Source organism: Homo sapiens, chromosome 4, assembly GCF_000001405.40.
Source record: "Homo sapiens chromosome 4, GRCh38.p14 Primary Assembly".
Classification (NCBI taxonomy): domain Eukaryota; kingdom Metazoa; phylum Chordata; class Mammalia; order Primates; family Hominidae; genus Homo; species Homo sapiens.
Genome location: NC_000004.12, coordinates 98575618 through 98600404, shown reverse-complemented (window position 1 = coordinate 98600404; position 24787 = coordinate 98575618). Strand labels below are relative to the sequence as shown.

The 24787-nt window shown below is 41.3% G+C and overlaps 1 protein-coding gene across 7 annotated transcripts in view, besides 2 other annotated features; it reads left to right on the top strand.

Annotated features, from left to right (window-relative positions):
• TSPAN5 (tetraspanin 5) overlaps positions 1–24787 on the top strand; it is a 188245-nt gene that overhangs the window by 58207 nt on the left and 105251 nt on the right. The window lies entirely within an intron of this gene.
• Positions 2222–2820: an enhancer, noted in NCBI's record as "NANOG-H3K27ac-H3K4me1 hESC enhancer chr4:99518736-99519334 (GRCh37/hg19 assembly coordinates)". NCBI's record gives its function as "activates a minimal SCP1, AML or CMV promoter by ChIP-STARR-seq in primed H9 embryonic stem cells {active_cell/tissue: H9 hESC(primed)}" and the evidence as "EXISTENCE:reporter gene assay evidence [ECO:0000049][PMID:30033119]".
• Positions 15813–16107: an enhancer, noted in NCBI's record as "tiled region #11258; HepG2 Activating DNase matched - State 9:DNaseU". NCBI's record gives its function as "activates a minimal TATA promoter and a strong SV40 promoter by Sharpr-MPRA in HepG2 cells {active_cell/tissue: HepG2}" and the evidence as "EXISTENCE:reporter gene assay evidence [ECO:0000049][PMID:27701403]".

Genomic DNA, 24787 nt, shown 5'->3' with positions numbered 1-24787 from the left:
TCTACTGTGAGTAAAATGCCATCTGACAGCATAACATGTTACAGAGAAATCTTTTGTGAAAGGAAGAGTCAATCAATGCTGCAAACTTCATTGTTGTCTTATTTTAAGAAATTGCCACAGCCACCCCAACCTTCAGCGCCACCACCGTCATCAGTCAGCAGCCATCAACATTGAGGCAAGGCCCCCCACCAGCAAAAAGATTACGATGTGCTAAAGGCTTAAATGATTTTCAGCATTTTTGGCTATAAAGTATTTTTAAATTAAGGTATGTACATTTTTTAGACATGATGGCATTGCACACTTACTAGATGCAGTATAGTATAAATATAACTTTTATGTGTACTGAGAAAAAAATTGTGTGACTCGCTTTATTGCAATATTTGCCTTAGTACTGTGGTCTAGAATGGAACCTGCATATCTCCAAGATATATCTGTAGTGTGATTATTTTGGAAAACCATTTAGTAGTTACCCAAGATAAGTTAAAACATGTCCACAAAAAAGACTTGTATGTGAATGTTCATAGCAACATTATTCACAGTGGCCAAAAACTGGAAACAACCCAAGAATCCATCACCTAGTGAATGGTTAAACAAATTGTGGTATATCCATAAAATGGAATACTACTCAGCAACAAAAGGGAACAAATTTACAGATACATACAACAGCATGCATGAATTCCAGAAAAATTGTGCAGTCAAAGGAATAAAACTCAGAAGACCACATACAATGTTCATTCATATGAAGTTCTGGAACAGGCAAAACTAGTCTGTAGGTACAGAAAGCAAATCAGTGGTTTTCTGGAGTTTGACATGGGGGTACTAACAAGGGAACTTTTTGGGGTGGTGGGAATGCTGTATATTTTGATTGTGGGGATGGTTACATGGTTGGATGCATTTGTCAAAACACACTTAATGGTAATGCAAAATGAATATATTTTATTTTATGTAAATTATACCTCAAAGTTGAATTTTTTTAAAAAGTTTCTTTTAAAAAGTAAAGACATTTGTGGTGCTTCTTGTAAATTTTACTGCTGATTATGACCTTGTTTCTTTAGATTTGACTTTCCAAGTTTGAAAAGACCAGTTTAAAAATGACTTTTGCTGGGCATGGTGGCATGTGCACGTAGTCTTACCTACTCAGGAGGCTGACGCAGGAGGGTCCCTTGAGCCCAGGAGTTGGAGGCTACAGTGAGCTATGATTATGCCACTGCACTCCAGCTTGGGTGAAACTGTGAGACCCTGTCTCTAAAAACAAAAATAAAAAAAAATTAAAATGGCTTTTTAGATTATAATCTATATGAAATTGGGGGTTATTTCGCACTTTTATATTATTTGTCCATTTTGCTTCTTTCTAAATAGCCTCTGGATTGTGTGTTATTTTCAGAAAGCTCTTGGAGATTTTTTGAAGTGTATGTTTTAACAGGATTTTCCTGTTGCTCTTTGGCAAACTTTGTCCTTTTATTGTTTAAGGAGTATAAATAACAACAGAACAGAATTACTTTCTGGTGCATTTTCCTCTTCTCCTGAGTCTTTTATGTTCAATAACTCTGAAGTTCCTGTTATTCCTGCCTTTGAACGTAGAAAATGAGACTCTCTCTCAAATACCTGAAACTAAGGCACATAAAAAATTTAGGAGGGGCCAGGCACGGTGGCTCATGCCTGTAATCCCAGTACTTTGGGAGATTGAGGCTGAGGTGGATGGATCGCTTGAGCTTGGCAGTTCAAGACCAGCCTGGGCAACATGGTGAAACCCCATCTCTACAAAAACAAAAATTAGCTGGGTATAGTGGCACGCACCTGTAGTGCCAGCTACTTGGGAGGCTGAGGTGGGAGAATTGCTTGAGCCCGGGAGGTGGAGGTTGCAGTGAGCACAGACCGCGCCACTGCACTGCAGCCTGGGTGACAGAAGTGAAAAGAAACACTGTCTCAAAAAAAAAACAGGAGGGAGGAGCCAAGATGGCCGAATAGGAACAGCTCCGGTCTACAGCTCCCAGCGTGAGCGACGCAGAAGACGGGTGATTTCTGCATTTCCATCTGAGGTACCGGGTTCATCTCACTAGGGAGTGCCAGACAGTGGGCGCAGGCCAGTGTGTGTGCGCACCGTGCGCGAGCCGAAGCAGGGCGAGGCATTGCCTCACCTGGGAAGCGCAAGGGGTCAGGGAGTTCCCTTTCCGAGTCAAAGAAAGGGGTGACGGACGCACCTGGAAAATCGGGTCACTCCCACCCGAATATTGCGCTTTTCAGACTGGCTTAAGAAATGGCGCACCACGAGACTATATCCCACACCTGGCTCAGAGGGTCCTACGCCCACGAAATCTCGCTGATTGCTAGCACAGCAGTCTGAGATCAAACTGCAAGGCGGCAACGAGGCTGGGGGAGGGGCGCCCGCCATTGCCCAGGCTTGCTTAGGTAAACAAAGCAGCCAGTAAGCTCGAACTGGGTGGAGCCCACCACAGCTCAAGGAGGCCTGCCTGCCTCTGTAGGCTCCACCTCTGGGGGCAGGGCACAGACAAACAAAAAGACAGCAGTAACCTCTGCAGACTTAAGTGTCCCTGTCTGACAGCTTTGAAGAGAGCAGTGGTTCTCCCAGCACGCAGCTGGAGATCTGAGAACGGGCAGACTGCCTCCTCAAGTGGGTCCCTGACCCCTGACCCCCGAGCAGCCTAACTGGGAGGCACCCCCCAGCAGGGGCACACTGACACCTCACACGGCAGGGTATTCCAACAGACCTGCAGCTGAGGGTCCTGTCTGTTAGAAGGAAAACTAACAACCAGAAAGGACATCTACACCGAAAACCCATATGTACATCACCATCATCAAAGACCAAAAGTAGATAAAACCACAAAGATGGGGAAAAAACAGAACAGAAAAACTGGAAACTCTAAAACGCAGAGCGCCTCTCCTCCTCCAAAGGAACGCAGTTCCTCACCAGCAACAGAACAAAGCTGGATGGAGAATGATTTTGACGAGCTGAGAGAAGAAGCCTTCAGACGATCAAATTACTCTGAGCTACGGGAGGACATTCAAACCAAAGGCAAAGAAGTTGAAAACTTTGAAAAAAATTTAGAAGAATGTATAACTAGAATAACCAATACAGAGAAGTGCTTAAAGGAGCTGATGGAGCTGAAAACCAAGGCTCGAGAACTACGTGAAGAATGCAGAAGCCTCAGGAGCCGATGCGATCAACTGGAAGAAAGGGTATCAGCAATGGAAGATGAAATGAATGAAATGAAGCGAGAAGGGAAGTTTAGAGAAAAAAGAATAAAAAGAAATGAGCAAAGCCTCCAAGAAATATGGGACTATGTGAAAAGACCAAATCTACGTCTGATTGGTGTACCTGAAAGTGATGTGGAGAATGGAACCAAGTTGGAAAACACTCTGCAGGATATTATCCAGGAGAACTTCCCCAATCTAGCAAGGCAGGCCAACGTTCAGATTCAGGAAATACAGAGAACGCCACAAAGATACTCCTCGAGAAGAGCAACTCCAAGACACATAATTGTCAGATTCACCAAAGTTGAAATGAAGGAAAAAATGTTAAGGGCAGCCAGAGAGAAAGGTCGGGTTACCCTCAAAGGAAAGCCCATCAGACTAACAGCGGATCTCTCGGCAGAAACCCTACAAGCCAGAAGAGAGTGGGGGCCAATATTCAACATTCTTAAAGAAAAGAATTTTCAACCCAGAATTTCATATCCGGCCAAACTAAGCTTCATAAGTGAAGGAGAAATAAAATACTTTATAGACAAGCAAATGCTGAGAGATTTTGTCACCACCAGGCCTGCCCTAAAAGAGCTCCTGAAGGAAGCACTAAACATGGAAAGGAACAACCGGTACCACCCGCTGCAAAATCATGCCAAAATGTAAAGACCATCGAGACTAGGAAGAAACTGCATCAACTAATGAGCAAAATCACCAGCTAACATCATAATGACAGGATCAAATTCACACATAACAATATTAACTTTAAATATAAATGGACTAAATTCTGCAATTAAAAGACACAGACTGGCAAGTTGGATAAAGAGTCAAGACCCATCAGTGTGCTGTATTCAGGAAACCCATCTCACGTGCAGAGACACACATAGGCTCAAAATAAAAGGATGGAGGAAGATCTACCAAGCCAATGGAAAACAAAAAAAGGCAGGGGTTGCAATCCTAGTCTCTGATAAAACAGACTTTAAACCAACAAAGATCAAAAGAGACAAAGAAGGCCATTACATAATGGTAAAGGGATCAATTCAACAAGAGGAGCTAACTATCCTAAATATTTATGCACCCAATACAGGAGCACCCAGATTCATAAAGCAAGTCCTGAGTGACCTACAAAGAGACTTAGACTCCCACACATTAATAATGGGAGACTTTAACACCCCACTGTCAACATTAGACAGATCACCGAGACAGAAAGTCAACAAGGATACCCAGGAATTGAACTCAGCTCTGCACCAAGCAGACCTAATAGACATCTACAGAACTCTCCACCCCAAATCAACAGAATATACATTTTTTTCAGCACCACACCACACCTATTCCAAAATTGACCACATAGTTGGAAGTAAAGCTCTCCTCAGCAAATGTAAAAGAACAGAAATTATAACAAACTATCTCTCAGACCACAGTGCAATCAAACTAGAACTCAGGATTAAGAATCTCACTCAAAGCCGCTCAACTACATGGAAACTGAACAACCTGCTCCTGAATGACTACTGGGTACATAACGAAATGAAGGCAGAAATAAAGATGTTCTTCGAAACCAACGAGAGCAAAGACACCACATACCAGAATCTCTGGGACGCATTCAAAGCAGTGTGTAGAGGGAAATTTATAGCACTAAATGCCTACAAGAGAAAGCAGGAAAGATCCAAAATTGACACCCTAACATCACAATTAAATGAACTAGAAAAGCAAGAGCAAACACATTCAAAAGCTAGCAGAAGGCAAGAAATAACTAAAATCAGAGCAGAACTGAAGGAAATAGAGACACAAAAAACCCTTCAAAAAATCAATGAATCCAGGAGCTGGTTTTTTGAAAGGATCAACAAAATTGATAGACCGCTAGCAAGACTAATAAAAAAAGAGAGAAGAATCAAATAGACACAATAAAAAATGATAAAGGGGATATCACCACCGATCCCACAGAAATACAAACTACCATCAGAGAATACTACAAACACCTCTACGCAAATAAACTAGAAAATCTAGAAGAAATGGATACATTCCTTGACACATACACTCTCCCAAGACAAAACCAGGAAGAAGTTGAATCTCTGAATAGACCAATAACAGGCTCTGAAATTGTGGCAATAATCAATAGTTTACCAACCAAAAAGAGTCCAGGACCAGATGGATTCACAGCCGAATTCTACCAGAGGTACAAGGAGGAACTGGTACCATTCCTTCTGAAACTATTCCAATCAATAGAAAAAGAGGGAATCCTCCCTAACTCATTTTATGAGGCCAGCATCATTCTGATACCAAAGCCGGGCAGAGACACAACCAAAAAAGAGAATTTTAGACCAATATCCTTGATGAACATTGATGCAAAAATCCTCAATAAAATACTGGCAAACCAAATCCAGCAGCACATCAAAAAGCTTATCCACCATGATCAAGTGGGCTTCATCCCTGGGATGCAAGGCTGGTTCAATATACGCAAATCAATAAATGTAATCCAGCATATAAACAGAGCCAAAGACAAAAACCACATGATTATCTCAATAGATGCAGAAAAAGCCTTTGACAAAATTCAACAACCCTTCATGCTAAAAACTCTCAATAAATTAGGTATTGATGGGACGTATTTCAAAATATAAGAGCTATCTATGACAAACCCACAGCCAATATCATACTGAATGGGCAAAAACTGGAAGCATTCCCTTTGAAAACTGGCACAAGACGGGGATGCCCTCTCTCACGGCTCCTATTCAACATAGTGTTGGAAGTTCTGGCCAGGGCAATCAGGCAGGAGAAGGAAATAAAGGGTATTCAATTAGGAAAAGAGGAAGTCAAATTGTCCCTGTTTGCAGACGACATGATTGTTTATCTAGAAAACCCCATCGTCTCAGCCCAAAATCTCCTTAAGCTGATAAGCAACTTCAGCAAAGTCTCAGGATACAAAATCAATGTACAAAAATCACAAGCATTCTTATACACCAACAACAGACAAACAGAGAGCCAAATCATAGGTGAACTCCCATTCACAATTACTTCAAAGAGAATAAAATACCTAGGAATCCAACTTACAAGGGATGTGAAGGACCTCTTCAAGGAGAACTACAAACCACTGCTCAAGGAAATAAAAGAGGACACAAACAAATGGAAGAACATTCCATGCTCATGGGTAGGAAGAATCAATATTGTGAAAATGGCCATACTGCCCAAGGTAATTTACAGATTCAATGCCATCCCCATCAAGCTACCAATGACTTTCTTCACAGAATTGTAAAAAACTACTTTCAAGTTCATATGGAATCAAAAAAGAGCCCACATTGCCAAGTCAATCCTAAGCCAAAAGAACAAAGCTGGAGGCATCACACTACCTGACTTCAAACTATGCTACAAGGCTACAGTAACCAAAACAGCATGGTACTGGTACCAAAACAGAGATATAGATCAATGGAACAGAACAGAGCCCTCAGAAATAATGCCGCATATCTACAACTATCTGATCTTTGACAAACCTGAGAAAAACAAGCAATGGGGAAAGGATTCCCTATTTAATAAATGGTGCTGGGAAAACTGGCTAGCCATATGTAGAAAGCTGAAACTGGATCCCTTCCTTACACCTTATACAAAAATCAATTCAAGATGGATTAAAGATTTAAACGTTAAACCTAAAACCATAAAAACCCTAGAAGAAAACCTAGGCATTACCATTCAGGACATAGGCGTGGGCAAGGACTTCATGTCCAAAACACCAAAAGCAATGGCAACAAAAGACAAAATTGACAAATGGGATCTAATTAAACTAAAGAGCTTCTGCACAGCAAAAGAAACTACCATCAGAGTGAACAGGCAACCTACAACATGGGAGAAAATTTTCGCAACCTACTCATCTGACAAAGGGCTAATATCCAGAATCTACAATGAACTCAAACAAATTTACAAGAAAAAAACAAACAACCCCATCAAAAAGTGGGCGAAGGACATGAACAGACACTTCTCAAAAGAAGACATTTATGCAGCCAAAAAACACATGAAAAAATGCTCATCATCACTGGCCATCAGAGAAATGCAAATCAAAACCACTATGAGATATCATCTCACACCAGTTAGAATGGCAATCATTAAAAAGTCAGGAAACAACAGGTGCTGGAGAGGATGTGGAGAAATAGGAACACTTTTACACTGTTGGTGGGACTGTAAACTAGTTCAACCATTGTGGAAGTCAGTGTGGCGATTCCTCAGGGATCTAGAACTAGAAATACCATTTGACCCAGCCATCCCATTACTGGGTATATACCCAAATGAGTATAAATCATGCTGCTATAAAGACACATGCACACGTATGTTTATTGCGGCACTATTCACAATAGCAAAGTCTTGGAACCAACCCAGATGTCCAACAATGATAGACTGGATTAAGAAAATGTGGCACATATACACCATGGAATACTGTGCAGCCATAAAAAATGATGAGTTCATATCCTTTGTAGGGACATGGATGAAATTGGAAACCATCATTCTCAGTAAACTATCGCAAGAACAAAAAAACCAAACACCGCATATTCTCACTCATAGGTGGGAATTGAACAATGAGATCACATGGACACAGGAAGGGGAATATCACACTCTGGGGACTGTGGTGGGGTCGGGGGAGGGGGGAGGGATAGCATTGGGAGATATACCTAATGCTAGACGACACATTAGTGGGTGCAGCGCACCAGCATGGCACATGTATACATATGTAACTAACCTGCACAATGTGCACATGTACCCTAAAACTTAGAGTATAATAAAAAAAAAAAAAAAAAAAACAAAAAACAGAGATCCCTTAGTTAGGTAAACCAGGCCCTTTCTGATTGGTTGCTGTGAATCTCCTGGTTTTTTGAATACTGGCTCATTTTGAAGTTCAGTTTCATTATGTGGCACCGAACAGGAGCGATTCCATACTGGTTCTGTCTGGTCTTTTGGGGCCTAGAGCACAGCCTCAGCCCTAAACAATGGCTTCTCTTCCACTTTGTTTAACAGTTCTCTGAACTCTTTCAAATTAACGTTTCCGTATGGCATGAGATAAAGGTAATGGTTCATTTGTTCTCCATGTGGCTATCTAGTTGTTATAACACTATTTATTGAAAAGTGTATCTTTTCTTTATTGAATTACTATCATATCTTGTTAAAAATCGAGGATATGTGTGTAGGTCAATTTCTGGATTCTCCATTCTGTTCCATTGATCTCTTGGCCATATACCACACTGTCTTGATTACTGTAGCATTATAATAAATCTTTAAATAAGGGAGTATAAGTCCTTCAACATTGTTCTTTTTAAAAATTCTTTTGGCTATTTTTGGTTCTTACCATTTTCACATAAATTTTATAGTTTGTCAAGATTTAGCAAAAGCCCTGTGGCAGTTTTGATTGGAATTGCATTAAACTTATAGATAAATGATGACTAATGGGAACGTAATGCATGTCAAAATATGTAAGCACATGTAATTTAAATATTTCTGGTAGACACATTAAAAAGAAAAAAAACCATGAAATTAATGTTAATAATTATTTTATTTACCCCAATATATGAAAACATCAACCTGTAATCAATATAAAAACATTGATATGATATTTTATTCTTTTTTTGTACTAAGTCATTGAAATCTGGTGTGTTTTTACACTTACAGCACACCTTAGTCACCTTAGTCTGAATTAAGATTCAGACTAGCCACATATCAAGTGTTTAGTAGCCTCATGTGGCTCATGGATACCATACTGAACAAAATAACTATAGATCAATTTGGAGATAATTGTCAAATAAATAGTATTTAGTATTCTTAACAAAAAATGAATTTAAAAGTGTATTATTAAGTGTCTTATTTATCTAAACAGGTATTAGTGTACAGTTCTTGCATGTACTTTGTTAAATTTATTCCTAAGTACTTCAGGTTTTTGCGTGCTGTTATTAATGGTATTGTTTTTCATGTTTTAGTTTTTAATTGTTCATTGCAACTTATATAAATAATTGAATTTTGCGTATTGGCCTGGTATATTCTGCAACTTATTGAAAGTGTTTACTAGCTCTGGTATGTTATTTTGTTGACACTTTAGAACTTCCTACCTAAAAAAAATATGTCTGTAAATAAAAGCAGTTTTCACTTATTAAAAAAAAAAAACAAAAAAACAAAAAAAAGGAAAAGCATGGCAGGGCAAAGTTGCTCATTTCTATTGGGCTATGACTGGGAACCAAGAGTTAGGGAAGTTGGTTTCCTACTTGATGTACACACCAGTCTTTGAGGTTTACTGATTACAGGTACCCAAAGTGTGTGTTCCTGCTTGCCTTCTCAGGTTCCTGTGTGGATGGATGGTTATCTTAATGCTGGTAATTAGGCTAAAGGAGCCATTTCACCCTTGTGGGGTCTTAGTGAGCTGATAATAGACTAGTCTTGGAGTTCAGTTGACCTGTGTTCAGAACATGACACTGATCAGCACTGTGACCTCGGACAAGTTAATTCATCTCTCTCTCTCTCTTTTTTTTTTTTTTTTGAGACAGTCTCGCTCTGTCGCCCAGGCTGGAGTGCAGTGATGCAACCTCGGCTCACTGCAACCTCTGCCTCCCGGATTCAAGTGATTCTCCTGCCTCAGCCTCCTGAGTAGCTGGGACTACAGGCACATGCCACCACACCTGGCTAATTTTTTGTATTTTTAGTAGAGACGGGGTTTCAGCGTGTTAGCCAGGATGGTCTCGATCTCCTGACCTCGTGATCTGCCCACCTCGGCCTCCCAAAGTGCTGGGATTACAGGAGTGAGCAACCACGCCTGGCCAATTCATCTCTTGAGCCTTAGTGTCCTCACCTGTAAGATGGGAATATCCACTTTACAGAGTTTTCTGGAAAATTAGATGAGATGAAATAAGTGAGAGTCATAGGTGTTGTGCCTGGCACATCATAGGCACTTGGTAAACCTGAGTTCATTTCCTTCCTTTATTGGGCAGCTTCCTGGCTCAGGTCCCTATTTCACATAAATTGTATGCCTAGCAGCACCCTATTCATTTTATAAATTGAATATGAGAATCAGATGATAAGAGTTTGGGACCATCTTTAGCAGATGGTTTTTGTTAAAGGTACCTTTTGAAGTGGGGGTAGTGCCGTTTCATTTCATGGTCTGTGTTGTGTACCTTTGCAGCATGTCTTTGTGATATGCAGTGATGTGACTGGAATTTCGTACAGTAGGATGGGATACTGAAAGTAAATCTGATCATTGGTAGCACCTTTCCTGTAATTACAGCACAGGAGAGAGGTAGTGTGACTATGTAAATAGAGCTAGAAGTGCTATTGAAATAACTCAGCAGATTCTTTAAAGAGAAAAAGGGGAGAAAAACCCCACCACCTTCCACAGAGACATTCCCATGCTAGGCCTGCACTGACACTGCAACACCAGATAGACGATTCAGTTTATTTTGCTCCAACATTTTACGCGTTGGTCAGAGAAAATGGTTTTCATTAACACAAGGTAATGAAAAATTTTGTGCCATGGTATCATGTTTGTAAAAAGCTTAATTACATTGTTGCTGTTTCTGTTTTGAACCTAATTCTGGTAGTCTGCGCGTAGCTGGCGTGCCAGTTCCGGGTTGTGGGTCTAGGCAGTTGGAGAAAAGAAGCAATTATCCAGTTAATGTAAAGAATCCTGCTAAGGAGGAAAGAAAGGTGCCCCTCATGCCCTCATCAGTCACTCCAATTGGTGTTTATAGGGAATTAAGTTCTCTGGTAATTGCCCTCCTTCCCTTTCCTTTGTCTGCTAGGGCCATCATCACAGGCCTTAAGTGAACAACTCTGGGAGTATTTCCGGCCTCTTCTCTAAGTCAGGCCAGTAATGCAGCTGTTAAGCACTGACATCTGGGTCTCAGTCATGCTTCCAGACCAGGATTGTTCTTAGTTCCAGGAGATTAATTGACCCATAAGAAATATTATAATGCAAATATATGTTTGCGCCAATTTGCTGACCAGTGCTTGCTATCCTGGAATTCACAGTGTGGCAGAATACAACTGTCTGGCATTAAGGATAACCTAGGTCTTGTTTCCACTTGTTTCCAGCATGTACTAATCTAGGGTGAACTTTCTTCACACGTAGAGAGCATCAAAGAGGAAGGTGTTGAAGCAGGAGCCCTGGATTAGGGATCAGGAGTGTGGAGTCTGGTTCCAACACTGTCACATTTCTGCTGTGTGTCCCTTTCCAGGCCCTTAACCTGTGCTGGGCCTCAGTTTTCTCATGTATAGAATGCAGTAATCATAGCTTAATTTCTAGCCAGCTTTCTAGGGTTGTTAATCTATCCTTTTATCAAAAGGATAAAATGATATGTTATAAATGAAGACACCTTAAAAAACAAAGCACTCTGCAAACGTAAGATGTTATTAAATGTAAACTCAATGACATTATTTCAACATTCACATTAGAGAAACAACATTTGAAGTCTTCTAGGCCACACACAAGTTATTGTAGAGCTTAAATTTCTCTTTGGTGAAGTTCTTTTAGGACAGATAAATATGCCTCAGGGCCAGCTTATCTCTTTGAACATCGTAACTGGATATTCTTTGGCTTCCTTTTTCCATTATTTAATCTTACTAAATTTCTCTTTTATTTTGAAGCATTGGGAATAATGAGAAAACTGGAAGATTTCAACAATAATGAGTGGAAATAATATGAAGGACCTATGGGAAGAGAGAATAAATTATATTAAATATATTCAAAGCAAAAGATGAGAAAAGACATTCTTTAAAAAATAGTGATAATGTTAAAATATCTTTTTTAGAAGTAATAGACTTGGGAACAGAAAAGGGATGTTGTTAACTTTTTTTTTTTTTGAACCGAAGTTAACACCCAGCACTGTCCTTTCTTTACTTAGCGAAACATACGGTGGAAACAGATTTCTGTGATCTTCTGCGGTCTCTGTTACTGGCCACCCCATTCATGTGACATCGGCACACTTGGCTCATTTAAAAGGCTTCTCAGTGATGTCTTGAAAGCCTAATCCTTTTTCATTTTATCTCTTTCATCCTGCAGGCCATGATGAAGTTAATTCGTTTTAACTTTCCGAGACACAACCACTTTTACAAAACAGGAAAATGAAAGGACTCTGAAAAGTGTGACACAGAATATCTAGTTTGCAGAATAGACTGTGCAGGGCGGGAGGATGGCCGACGACGGGTTTCATTTAGGAACTCAAAGTGAAAGGACAGGGCAAGAAGTGTAGTGAACACCTTCAGGGAAATGCCGAAGAGACCAACTGTTATTTGAAAACTTGGATAGGTTTTGGGGCCCCAGATCCAAGCACCTTGTTTTGTTGTTGTTGTTGTTGTTGCTGTTTTTGAGACGGAGTCTTGTTCTGTCACCAGGCTGGAGTGCAGTGGCATGATCTTGGCTCACTGCTGCCTTCGCCTCCTCAGTTCAAGCGATTCCCCTGCCCCAGCCTCCTGAGAAGCTGGGACTACAGGCACGCACCACCATGCCCAGCTAATTTTTTTGTATTTTAGTAGAGACAGGGTTTCACCATATTGGTCAGGATGGTCTCAATCTCCTGACCTCGTGATCTGCCCGCCTCAGCCTCCTAAAGTGCTGGGATTACAGGCATGAGCCACTGCGCCCGGCCAGCACCTTGGTGTTTATGGAGATGGCGATGTGCCTTGCTTCACTGGGGTATGGATGGGCGGAGTTTCTGTTCCAGACTTGCTTGTCTTCCCCAACCCTGCCTACCTTCTTTAGAGGAGGAAATATATGTTCAGTCTTCATGGAGCTAAGAAAAAGCCAGACAGCCGAGGAAGAAGCTAATAATTAGGCTTCTTTGGAAGGTATGAGACAAATTGGCAGCATGGTCACCCGGGAAAACACAGTGGGGCTTTGTCTGCAACTAAGAACTCTAGAAATCATGGTGTCTGGATACCACGGGGTTTAAGCTGTGGAAGCCTCAGCCTGCGTGTGGAAGCTGGGCTTTCTAATTGGATCACTGGCACACACAGTGCTGTTGCTTCTTCTCTGCCCATGTCCCCCAGAGCATCTATCTGCTTTTGTTACTGCATTGTTATGAATGCCCTTCTTTGGCGCCCTCCACTTTTCCTGAAGGCAGGCTGGGAAGCAGCCCTTGGCATGTGTGATGGCTGCGCTGCATGCTGGCCATCGAAGGATGTCCATCCAAGGAAAAGCTGCTCTCCCTCAGCCCTCACCCTTGGCTTTTGCCCCACCCTGCCTCCCAACTGCCGGTGCATTCAATTCCCTGCCTTTGTCCAAGGGGCAGGACAGGGCACGACCACTTTGGCTCCCCTTTTCCCTTTGGAAGCCAAAGTCACTCCTCCAGCTTCAGAACTGTGAGTTTCTTGTGCATGCCGCTGGCTTGGTGGGAATATGAGAATGGGAACTCTAACTCTCACTGTGTGAAGAGTTGGCAAGGGTGCATGTGCACGCTATTGTGTGTTATCTGTAAGAGAACTGCAAAAACAAGTGTCTAGAATTAGATTCAGTGCTTCAGGACCCCCTCTCCTTTCTCCATTTAGATTCCTCAACAGAAGCTGCTTTTCGCTTGATTAACTGTAACAAACTCTCTTTGGAGTTTTGTATTTTGGAAACTGCATTGCCAAAGGAAAATCATTATGTCTGCTGTAAAAGCCCCAAATAAATTCCTCCTAGGGTAAATGGAGGAAAAAGAATAGAAGGGTTTAATCTATCATCTTGCCTATTAGTGAAATACTTAGTGACCTAGTTCATTTACATATTAAATGTGCTAGACCTATTTGTGCCTTCTTTTTTTTTAACTTGTTACCTTGGAAACCATGCCCTGGCTCAGAAATTACACAAGGCCAACAGCAAATCTGCAGTCTGGTTTCTTCACACAGACAAGTCAGTTAATGGGGAAAGGTTAGATTGTCCCAAAATGTCTTCAGTCGTTAGTAGAAAAAGGAGAGGAAGGAGAAAAAGTGAGAAACATGTATTATTTTGGTAACATTTTCAAAATACTACTTTTAAACTAATTGGAAGGGATTTTACCTAGACTTAAGAAGAAAATAATAGTGTGGACTCTTAAAACTTCAGTCTGCTTTTAAAGAACTTTCCTGGTACATTTGGCAGCACTGGCATGAAAAGGATCAGCTATCAATTGACATTGAATTCCAGACCTACATTTAAGGAATCTTGACTCTCTCATTGCTTTGTTGTAATAGCACTGGTTCTTCCAGATTGTTTGGTGGTGTCTTATGTTCTCAGGCCAACTTTTCAAGAGTCTGAGAAGCAGAATTTAAAAATACGATTTAGTTAGCAGCTAGAGAGCAAAATTTCAGCCCATCTTCCCACCTGAATATGTAGCCTGCAAGTTCTGGGAGAACAAGGAACTTTACTGATCTTCTACAGTGTCTCATTTCACAGTGGAGGAGATTGGCACCCAGAGAGGTGAAATAAATTGCCAAGGGCATCCATCTGGTTTGGGGCAGTCTAGACTAGAAAACAGGCTTCTTAACACATCTTGCAGCATCATGGATGGAACTGGAGGCTATTATCCTAAGTGAAATAACTCAGAAACAGAAAGTAAAATACTACATGTTCCCACTTACAAGTGGAAGCTAAACAATGGATACACATGGACATAGAGAGTGGAATAATAGGCTGGGCGCAGTGGCTCACGCCTTTAATCTCAGCACTTTGGGAGGCTGAGGCAGGTGGATCACTTGAGGTCAGGAGTTTGAGACCAGCCTTGCCAACATGCTGAAAACCTATCTCTACTGAAAATACAAAAAATGGCCAGGTGTGGCGGTGCATGCCTGTAATCCTAGCTACTTGGGAGGCTGAGGCAGGAGAATTGTTTGAACCCCGGAGGCAGAGGTCGCAGTAAGCCAAGATTGCGCCACTGCACTCCAGTCTGTGTGACAGAGCAAGACTGCCTCAAAAAAAAAAGAGAGAGAGTGGAATAATAGACATTGGAGACTACCAAAGGTGGGAGGCTGAACGTTGAAGTATTGCTTGTTTGTTACAGTGTTCACCATTCGGGTAATGGGTACACTACAAGCCTAGAGTTTGTTGCTATGCAATATATGCACACCAGAAAATATGCACTTGTACCCCCTAAATGTATAAGAATTTTGAAAAAACTTTTTAAAAATTAGGTTTTTTGACTGCAGATCTAGTGCTCTTTCAACATTAGTCCTGACACAGATAAGTCACTTGCTTTGAGTTCTGTCAGAGGTAAAGCTGGGTGAAGAAATTGTGAGAAGAATGCTATTCTCTTTAAGCCAGCCACCAGCCAGCTTACTTGGGAAGCGGTGGAAGGAGGACACAGTGTATCCTCAAATGTTAAATCCCTTCTTAGTGGTATTTGTTGTGGATAGAAGGAATTAGATTGAATGTGGAACTTTGAGCACTCTGAGGATAAATTGTGCCTTCTCATTCAAGACACATTCAATTCTCTTGGTCACTCCATCTTTTCTGAAGTTCCTTTTACCATGCTTTGCAGTGGCGATAGGCCTATTGCATGAAGAGATAAAATGTCTTTTAGGCTTTTTCCTCTTAAAAACTTGGGATAAGAACAAGTTAGCCTGAGGCAATCACAGAGTCTTTATAAAGAGACTTTTAGCAAGGAAATGATTTTTCAAATACAGTACAGGATTTTGGGCATGACTTTGAACTGGAAAGTCTACATATATAAGTAGAAGATGGTGTGTAATATCTTTGCAAATACTTTTGTGTATTCATTCCTCATTTGTAAATGTTTTCTTACCTGCTGACTCAAGCACTGACAGTGTATTTGTTTGCTCATTCAACTATGGACTGTGAACATGCTTGGGAAACAGAGTTGAGTATTGTACGCAATCTCTGACCTCAGTAATACTTAGGCATATATGCTTATTCAGTAACTGGACATTTTAAAATAAAAAGAAATGAGTATTTTCACTGCTTGCATATAATGGGAATGATTGAATAACTTTCCCATAAGATGGCATTAGTTCAAGTGTCCTTATTTTAGTAAGAGTATTTCAGGCCAGGTGTGGTGGCACACACCTGTAGTCCCAGCTACTCAGGAGGCAGAGGCAGGAGGATCCTTTGAGCCCAGGAGCTAGACTCCAGCCTGGGTAACAAAGAAAGACCGCATCTCTTTGAAAAAATAATTTGGAAGCTCTCCGTAAAAATCTCACCTCTTATTTTCCTCAAAACAAGCTCTGGTGCATTAGGGTATATAGTAGGGTCCCCTGGCCTTTGGAATGGGGGGTTATTTGAGACTGGAAGGTGGGAGTGGGAGAGGGAGGGGGAGCCAGGGACAAGCATGGCAAAGTTCCAGATTCTCTGTATTTGTGTGAAAAATCACAAAACCCTACATTGACTGTGTAGTGGATGTCAGATGGGAAGAGGGAGTGGGGAAGCAATGAATAATAGCAATCACAGGTGCAGGAGCCACGTCTCCTCCTGGGCACTTTACATGCGTTCTCTCACTTATTCTTCTTTCTCACCCTGTGAGGCTTGGTCCAGTTGCTATTCCCAAATCACCCATGAGGAACCTGATGCTGTGAAGATCAGCAGCATGGCCAAGGCCGTGTAGTGAAGTGATGAGCAGGAGTTAGTCCCGGTCTTTCTGTTGTCTGAGCTTACCAGCTCTTGCCTTCACACAGTGCTCTCTCCTCTCTTATCAAGTTGAACGTGGGTCAGGACCATGAAGTTAATTTTCTTCCTCCTTTTAATCATCAAAATGGAATTTCTGTTTTGCCTGTTAGAGATTATTGATATAAGAAAGGCTGGGCGTTAAATGCTGAGAACACATGGACACATAGAGGGGAACAATCACACCCTGGGGCCTGGTGGAGGGTGGAGGGTGGGAGGAGGGAGGGGATTAAGAAACAACGAATGGGTACTAGGCTGAATACCTGAGTGATTAAACAGTCTGTACAACAGACCTCCATGACACAAGTTTACCTGTGTAACAAACCTGCATTTTAAAAGTTAAAAAAATGAAAGGCTTTATATCAATAAATAAGTGGGCCTAAAAAAGGGAGACAAAATGAAGGAAAATTATTCTGGATTCTTAAGAATAAAAGTGAAAATATCGGACTAAACTGATAAAATGAGGTAGAAAATAGAGGAATCACATACACAGTTTTGACTTCCAACCCACTTTGCCTTAAGTTATTTCAGTTGACAAGTCGAAGTTGGGTTGAGGGGATGAGGGTAGGAGGTGAGTGATGTATGGATAAATACAACGTTCTATTTTCTAATGGTAAGTATATCTGCCTTCCCTCCCTCCAGTGCTTTTATACGGTACCAAGGAATATGTTTTGCTTTTTGTCTGACAAAGGGAATTCACAACTCATAACAGCTATTTGACATCTTTTGTGGGTACCAAGCTCACTTTTCTTCTTTCCAGTGATAAGTGCCTTAATAGAACAAAGTCAACATAATCCTTGCCTCCAGGGAGCTTGCAGTTTAATGAGGGGGGCACATGTTTACAATATAGTGGGGTCAGTGCTGGGGAGGCATTGAGGAAGAACTTAGTGTATGAATCCATCTCCGAACTTCAGTGATGTGGAAAATAAGCTGTTAGAAAGATATCTTGGACTTCATTTTTCAAGCAGCTTGAACTCCTCAAACAATTGTTCTGCAGACTTATTTGCCACGAGATTTGTGACTTGAAGTCTAGTGTTTAGATCACAGTGAGCTTTTTGGAGATGAGATTTGTGCTCACATCTGTGGCAAGTCAACGTGTGGCAAATGCCTGTTTTGACTGTCAAAACGGAAAGCAAATCTCTTTGCGTGATTTTCTATGTCATTTTCTTTATTAGTGCACATGTCATGGGCGTTTCTTTTCCTTGCAGTTTTGTGTGAACTTAATCCTAGACAGAACCTCAGTTTGAGTGGTTAAGGCTCAGCATCCTGGTCAGCGTCTGAGCTGCTGTCCTCTGGGTCCCTGTTGTGCCGTCAGCTCCAGTGGGGATGGCACCAGGTTCAGGAGGCTGAAGAAGTGACCCAGAGCCAGCAAACGCAACATGCGGTTGCGTCGGGGGCTTACATACAGGGGAGAGGGCCCAGCGGCTATGCGCTGGACAAGAGAACCGCAATCACTTGCAAAAGCTATGCAGTTTATATTGCATTTTCACTTAGTACTCTGTTTAACGATTCCACCTGGCAACCTTCATTCATGCCAAAACTCGGGGCCTCCATTTCCCTACAGCCCATGTCCCACAAGAGATGGGCCGGGAGCTCAGATGTTCCTCATAGACAAGGAACAGATCTCTGGGGTGGCCACTTCCAGATCCCTAGCTCAGAACTCTGAACACATTCGGGGGCATCTGCCATACAGAATCATTCTTAAGAGTACGCTTAAGTTACTGCTATCAGGTGCATTTACTGTATACCCCTAAGTGACTTCAACTTCTAGTCAGTCTAATGAAATTTGATTTCATGCAGAGGGTCTCTTAGACAAAAATTACATCTATAAGCAAATTACTGGCTGCGCAGGTTACTTTGAAATATTTCTGGTGTTTTTTTAAAAAAATCAGTTAAGCTGATCAGAGACAAAGGGAAGAAATTACCCTTTTCTTTTTAATGTGCAGCAAAATGTGTACTAATGGTGCAATCACAGAATATTAGGTTGTTAATACAATCAATAAAAAGTTAATCCGTTTTGGATTTCATTGTATTATGTTTTTCTTGTTTGTGGAATAACGTAATTGTGACAGAGTAATTAATACCCTGCAGAGGGATTAGCCGTCAAGATTGAGATAAAAGAACAAGGAGACAAGAGCAGAGTTGCCTAGAAGACAGGGGCGTTTAGAAAGTGCTGAGGCATAGAGTTTCCTTAAGGTGATTTTTTACCTTTCCTGACTCTAATTATACATTTTTGCATCTAGTAGTGATACAGCTGGGTTGGTAAAACATATTATTAATAGAAGTGAGGGAGTTCTGAGGTGGATCAGATTTTTCCCTTTAAGCTTGGTTTCCAGCCAAGCCACCGGTCCTCAATTGGTATTTTGCTGTGTGTTCAGAATGGCTTTTTCACTTCTGTAATTTACTTATTTCTTATTATTTGTTATTCAAAGATCTTTTGGTCATTTATTCTGCACAAATCCTAGAAAATGAAAGCCAAATAAGGAGGGATTCCCCCAAATGAGTACTAGTTTTTATATCAGTGCATGGTGGGCCTCTCAGTGCCAACAGATTGTTCCCGTTAATTTTTTTTTCCCCTTTATATTGACTCTGGGGTTTCTAATGGTCAGCCTGTGCTTTCAGATTGGAGTTATTAACTTTGACCAAAACAGGAGTGGTTTGAGAAGAGGCAGTAGAGAGGAGAAAGTGGAGATCTAGCCAGAATCTTTTGTTTTCCACAGAAATTAGAGAGGGAAAAGACTATAGGAATCAGACTCTGTCAGCCTTGTCCTTTGTAGCCCCTACCCAGGCAGCAAAGAGGAAACTGTCTTCTTCCTGTACGGGTCTCCAATTGGCTGACATTATAAATAGTCTCAGTGGCAGGTTTCTCATTTTTGAATAAAAAAACAGGTTTTCATGCTAAATTATTAAACATTCTGTGGTTTGGCTTTAAAATCAAATAAATAACTCTCTTTATGAATGCATTAGACACCCTCCCTAGTTTCCTTTTAATTGTTTGTTCTCCCCTGTTCCTCATCTTGGACTTCAAGGCCATCATCTTGGTATTCTGGTGTCTGCTCTTCTCTTGCTGACTTCTCTCTGGGAAACCTTTTCCAGGTCGGCTTGTTCCACTATCACCCACCTCCCTGTGAAGGAAGATTGAAGCTGGTGTAGATGGGGCTTCCTGCCTGCCCTGGAAGTCTGAGCCAAGAGTAATTTTACCCTCATCTTTCCACAGTGTGTATAAGAGTAAAAAAGGTCAGCTGGACAACTTGCCTCGCTGGGATAGAGCAGTCAGAGTCAGATGATGTTTCTATGAACTGTTTTGTTGGGGTCAGATGGACTCAACTGTGCAGTCCACATCATCTGCCCCCATCTGCACTGACCTGATATGGTGGGTGGCCACATCCTAAAATAGTTTCTCAGAGACTTTGTGTGTGAAACATACATATAAATGTGTTCATGTTTATAATGTTGGTGTGCAAGAGTTTATTTTGCTTAAAGAAGATAATGGAAATTTTGGTTTCAACTAACATATCTATTTTCTCTCCACTAATGAGTATGGAAGGTTTTCTCCTAGATGAAAACATGGAGAGAATCACTAATAAGAAGAGAAAGCTGTTGAGTACTGTTAAAATATCACAAAACAGTTACTATTATAGTCATATATATGATACGTTCATTCTTTTAGAGGATAATTTAAACATTATTTTGGGTATATAGGGTTTTAAAAAATCTATTCAGCATCTAATATGAATGTGTGAAAAATTTCACATAAATTTTCATATAGTAATTGGGACCAAATTATTTGCTGTCTTTTGTCTCTTTCACATTGTTTATGAAGATCTGGCTTGAATAAAGGAGTCAGGAGCTTTCGCCTTCCATAGCTAAGCCCAACTGTCCTAATGCTGCATAAGACAGCTGGGATTAGAGAAACTCTTGAAAAGCAGGATTGGTAATGGGAAGTGATAGCTGTGTGTGAAAGCCTTAATGCTGAAGTGCATTCTTGTAACGCAATTTTCTTGTCTGCCTTGTTATCTTACAATTTTAGTGGGAAAAATAATAACAATGTTATTTCAAAGAAATGGTTAAAAAATAGTCAAACTTAATAGAAAGCAGAGCCCTGTCCTTTGGTTAAACACTCATTTACTCAGCTCTCTCTCTCTTTTTAAAAAACAGAACCATGAATCCTTCCTGTACAGTTGCATGGGTTGATATTAACTCTCTCTCAGCTTATTCACTGTCCACCTAAAAGAATAGTACAGGGCTCCAGAAATGTACCTTGCTCTGGTTTATAGGTAAAATGCTGCACTTGGGCATAGGTTTGTGGAGGGTGAGTATTGTTTCTCTTCCTGTGATGAAGATTGATGGCATTCCTGATAAAGGAAGAAGAGCGTGTTTGAGGATGCTGGAAGATGCTGAAGTGAAGCTGAGAACGTGACGGCCAGCCTGGGCTCTTGGGGGTGGAGGATGGTTGTGGATGCTGTGTTGCAGTTGACTATGCCCTTTCTGGAGGTGTACGGGTAGCACCTGTTCTGCTCTAACAGCTTTGTGGGGAGGACAGCCACCCACCAGAGCCCCCCATCCAGCACGTCTTCCTATTTCCTTGGTATTAGTAACTACATGGGGGATATTTATCTATGTTTTAATGCACACAGGCTAGTGCAGTCAAGGGTGTGGGGCATACAAAGGTAAAAAATAGATCATTGTTACCCTATAGAAGCTTTCAGTTGGCATGTGTAGTGGGAGGTGTGCTTTAGGGAGGTGTCATATGTAACTTAGAGGAAAGAATTCCCAAGGTGGCTGAGAGGACTGGGGAGGTGGGAGAGTCTGCTTTGGATCTGGAGGAAAAGTGGCACTGTCTACCTAAGAGAATAGTGCCAAAGACAATTTGCACAGAGTTTGGCATATAATAAGTACTAATAGGCTAGGCACAGGTGGCTCATGCCTGTAAGCCCAGCACTTTGGGAGGCCGAGGTGGGCAGATCACTCGAGGTCAGGAGTTTGAGAACAGCCTGGCCAATATGGCAAAACCCCATCTTTACTACAAATACAAAAATTAGCTGGGCGTGGTGGTGTGTGCCTGTAATCCCAGGGGTAGCTGAGACAGGAGAATCTCTTGAACCCAGGAGACGGAGGTTGCAGTGAGCCGAGATTGTGCCACTGCACTCCAGCCTGGGCGACAGAGCAAGACTCTGTCTCAAAAAAATAAAATAAATACTAATAAATACTTAATGAAAGAAGGAGAAAAGTCTAGGGAAGTTATTATTTGGGGAAGAGCTAAGAGGAATTCATCTGTGAATAGACAAACTGAATATCATTCCACGATTACTTTCACTTTAAATGTAAGTATTTAAGGGTACCGTGAATGAATTCCTTCACAGATGTGTTGGCTCTGCAGGGATAAAGGTGATGGGGTTTCCAGTTCATGTTGCAAGTTCATGTCTCAAGGGGAGGTTCTGTGAGACTTGGGCTGTGTCCTGACCACACAGCTTTGCATAATTGATTAATTCTGCATAACTGCTTGCATTCCTTTCCTAAAATAACTTTCACTTTCTAATTAGCTCTCCAGAATTAATAAGTGCCAAAAAATAGGATGTGTGTTGAATCTTGTGATCTAATGTGATGCTGCCAACTCACACAGATTTAAGGTATAATTAATAATGCTGAATCTCTGAGGGAATTCTTAATTCCTGAATTGGTAGACAGATCTCTAAAAAGTAGCTAATACTTATTGTGTTTACCATGTGCCGGGCACTGTGCTGAGGACTTTACCCAGTTTACCTCCTTGATCTGTTTTCATTATCACAAACACCCTAAGGATTAGTATTATGGGTATCTCCATTTCTAGAGAGGTAAAGTCACTCACACAGCCAATTGACACAGCCAGTGAATAGCAGAACTGGATTTGGGCTGAAAGAGTCAGGCTCTGGAGCCAGTGCTCCTAAAGGCCATGTGACATTGCTTCTCTTTTCTTTCTCTGGGGTGTTCCAGTTTTCCTCAGGGCTTCGTCATTGCTGCTTTCTACTTGCTGACACTTTTGTCAAATGTGATAAACAGCAAAAATTGATACAGTACAGGTCCAAAATAAACGGACCCTGATAGGTACCACAGGTAAAGTTGTTGGCAAATGACATCACTTATGTAATGGTAGGTCCTTCACTGGAGGTCAATTATGGAGCGATGCTGTGAGGGAAAGGTAGGTAGATGTCTCTGGGCTGGGAGAAGGCAAATGATGAGGGGACTTGGAGTTTCAGGGGGGGAAACAATAAAGATTCTGGTTGGCAAGTTTCTTGGCAAATTTTAAGGGTGGTAAACATTTTAAATCAGTATGTCAGTAACTTCTGCATGAGAAGTGCCAGGTACTTCACAAAACTTTAATATAATGTGTGAGCCTTAGGGTTGAAAGTAGGGATGGCACTGCTTCTGGCTTCTCTGTTAACAGAAATATGAGAGAGAAGTATGAATAATTTTTTCTCAAATTGAGTTTTAGATTGGGGTTTCATTTTTCAGCAGAATATAAAACAGTTATTTTCTATTTCCATGAATACCAGGAGGGGAGACTTAATAAAATGCAGTAAATATGGCCGGGTGCAGTGGCTCACACCTGCAATCCCAGCACTTTGGGAGGCCGAGGTGGGCAGATCACCTGAGGTCAGGAGTTCAAGATCAGCCTGGTCAACATGGCAAAACCCCATTTCTACTAAAAATACAAAAAATTAGCCAGATGTGGTGGCGGGTACCTGTAGTCCCAGCTACTCAGGAGGCTGAGGCAGGAGAATCACTTGAACACGGGAGGTGGAGGTTGCAGTGAGCTGAGATCGCACCACTGCATTCCAGCCTGGGCGACAGAGCAAGACACTGTCTCAACACAAACAAACAGAATAAAGTAATAAATAGGTGTATGCTGAAAGAAAAATCATTCTTAGTCCTGGCCTTTTTTTGAGACAGGGTCTTGCTTTGTTGCCTAGGTATCATCACAGCTCACTGCAGCCTGGACTTCCTGGGCCCAAGTGACCCTCCATCCTCAGTTTTCCAAGTAGCTGGGACTATAGGCACATGCCACCACGCCTGGCTAATTTTTTAGTTTTTTGCCCAAGCTGGTCTCGAACTTCTGACCTCAAGCAATCCTCCCATCTCGACCTCCCAAAGTATGTTGTCTGGGATTACAGGTGTGAGCCACTGCTCATGGCCCCATGACATTTTTTAAATCAAAATATCTAGATAAAAATCAACATATTCAGACAATCTAATTTGGTTGATATACAACTATGTTTTTAAAAATTTTCCCTTTTTGAAAAAGGCAATATTTGTGGTGATTGTAGACTTAGCAATGTAAGTTTAAGTTTTGTAACATTGCAGGTTGATTTTGAGTTAATTGAAACATTTGAAGTTTAATATGTTGGCAAAGTGGATTGTGTACATGAATTGAGGGGGAAAGAGGAAATTAATACTGTTTGATTTTTTTTTTAATTTTCTTGTAAATAATGTGAATATCCAGAAAGCAACAGAATAACCTAAGTTATCAGAGGCTGAGAAAGGACATAAAATAACCTTTATTATTATTATTGTTTTTTTAGATGGAGTCTCGCTCTGTCCACCAGGCTGGAGTGCAGTGGTGCCATCTCAGCTTACTGCAATCTGTGCCTCCCAGGTTCAAGCAATTCTCCTGCCTCAGCCTCCCAAGTAGCTGGGATTACAGGCATGCACCACCACACCCAGCTATTTTTTGTATTTTTAGTAGAGATGGGGTTTCACCATGTTGGCCAGATGGTCTCGATCTCCTGACCTTGTGATCTGCCTGTCTCAGCCTCCCAAAGTGCTGGGATTACAGGTGTGAGCCACCACGCCCAGCCACTTTTTTTTTTTTTTTTGTGGGGTGGGGGGCGCAGATGGATGGGAATGGCATTGAATACAATATTCAGGATATTGTAGATGAAAGAGGAAAAGTTTCTAGAATATTATGTGACTGTTGTGGGAGGTGTTGAATATTATAAATAAGGAGATTTTGCTGCTGTTGTTTTTGTT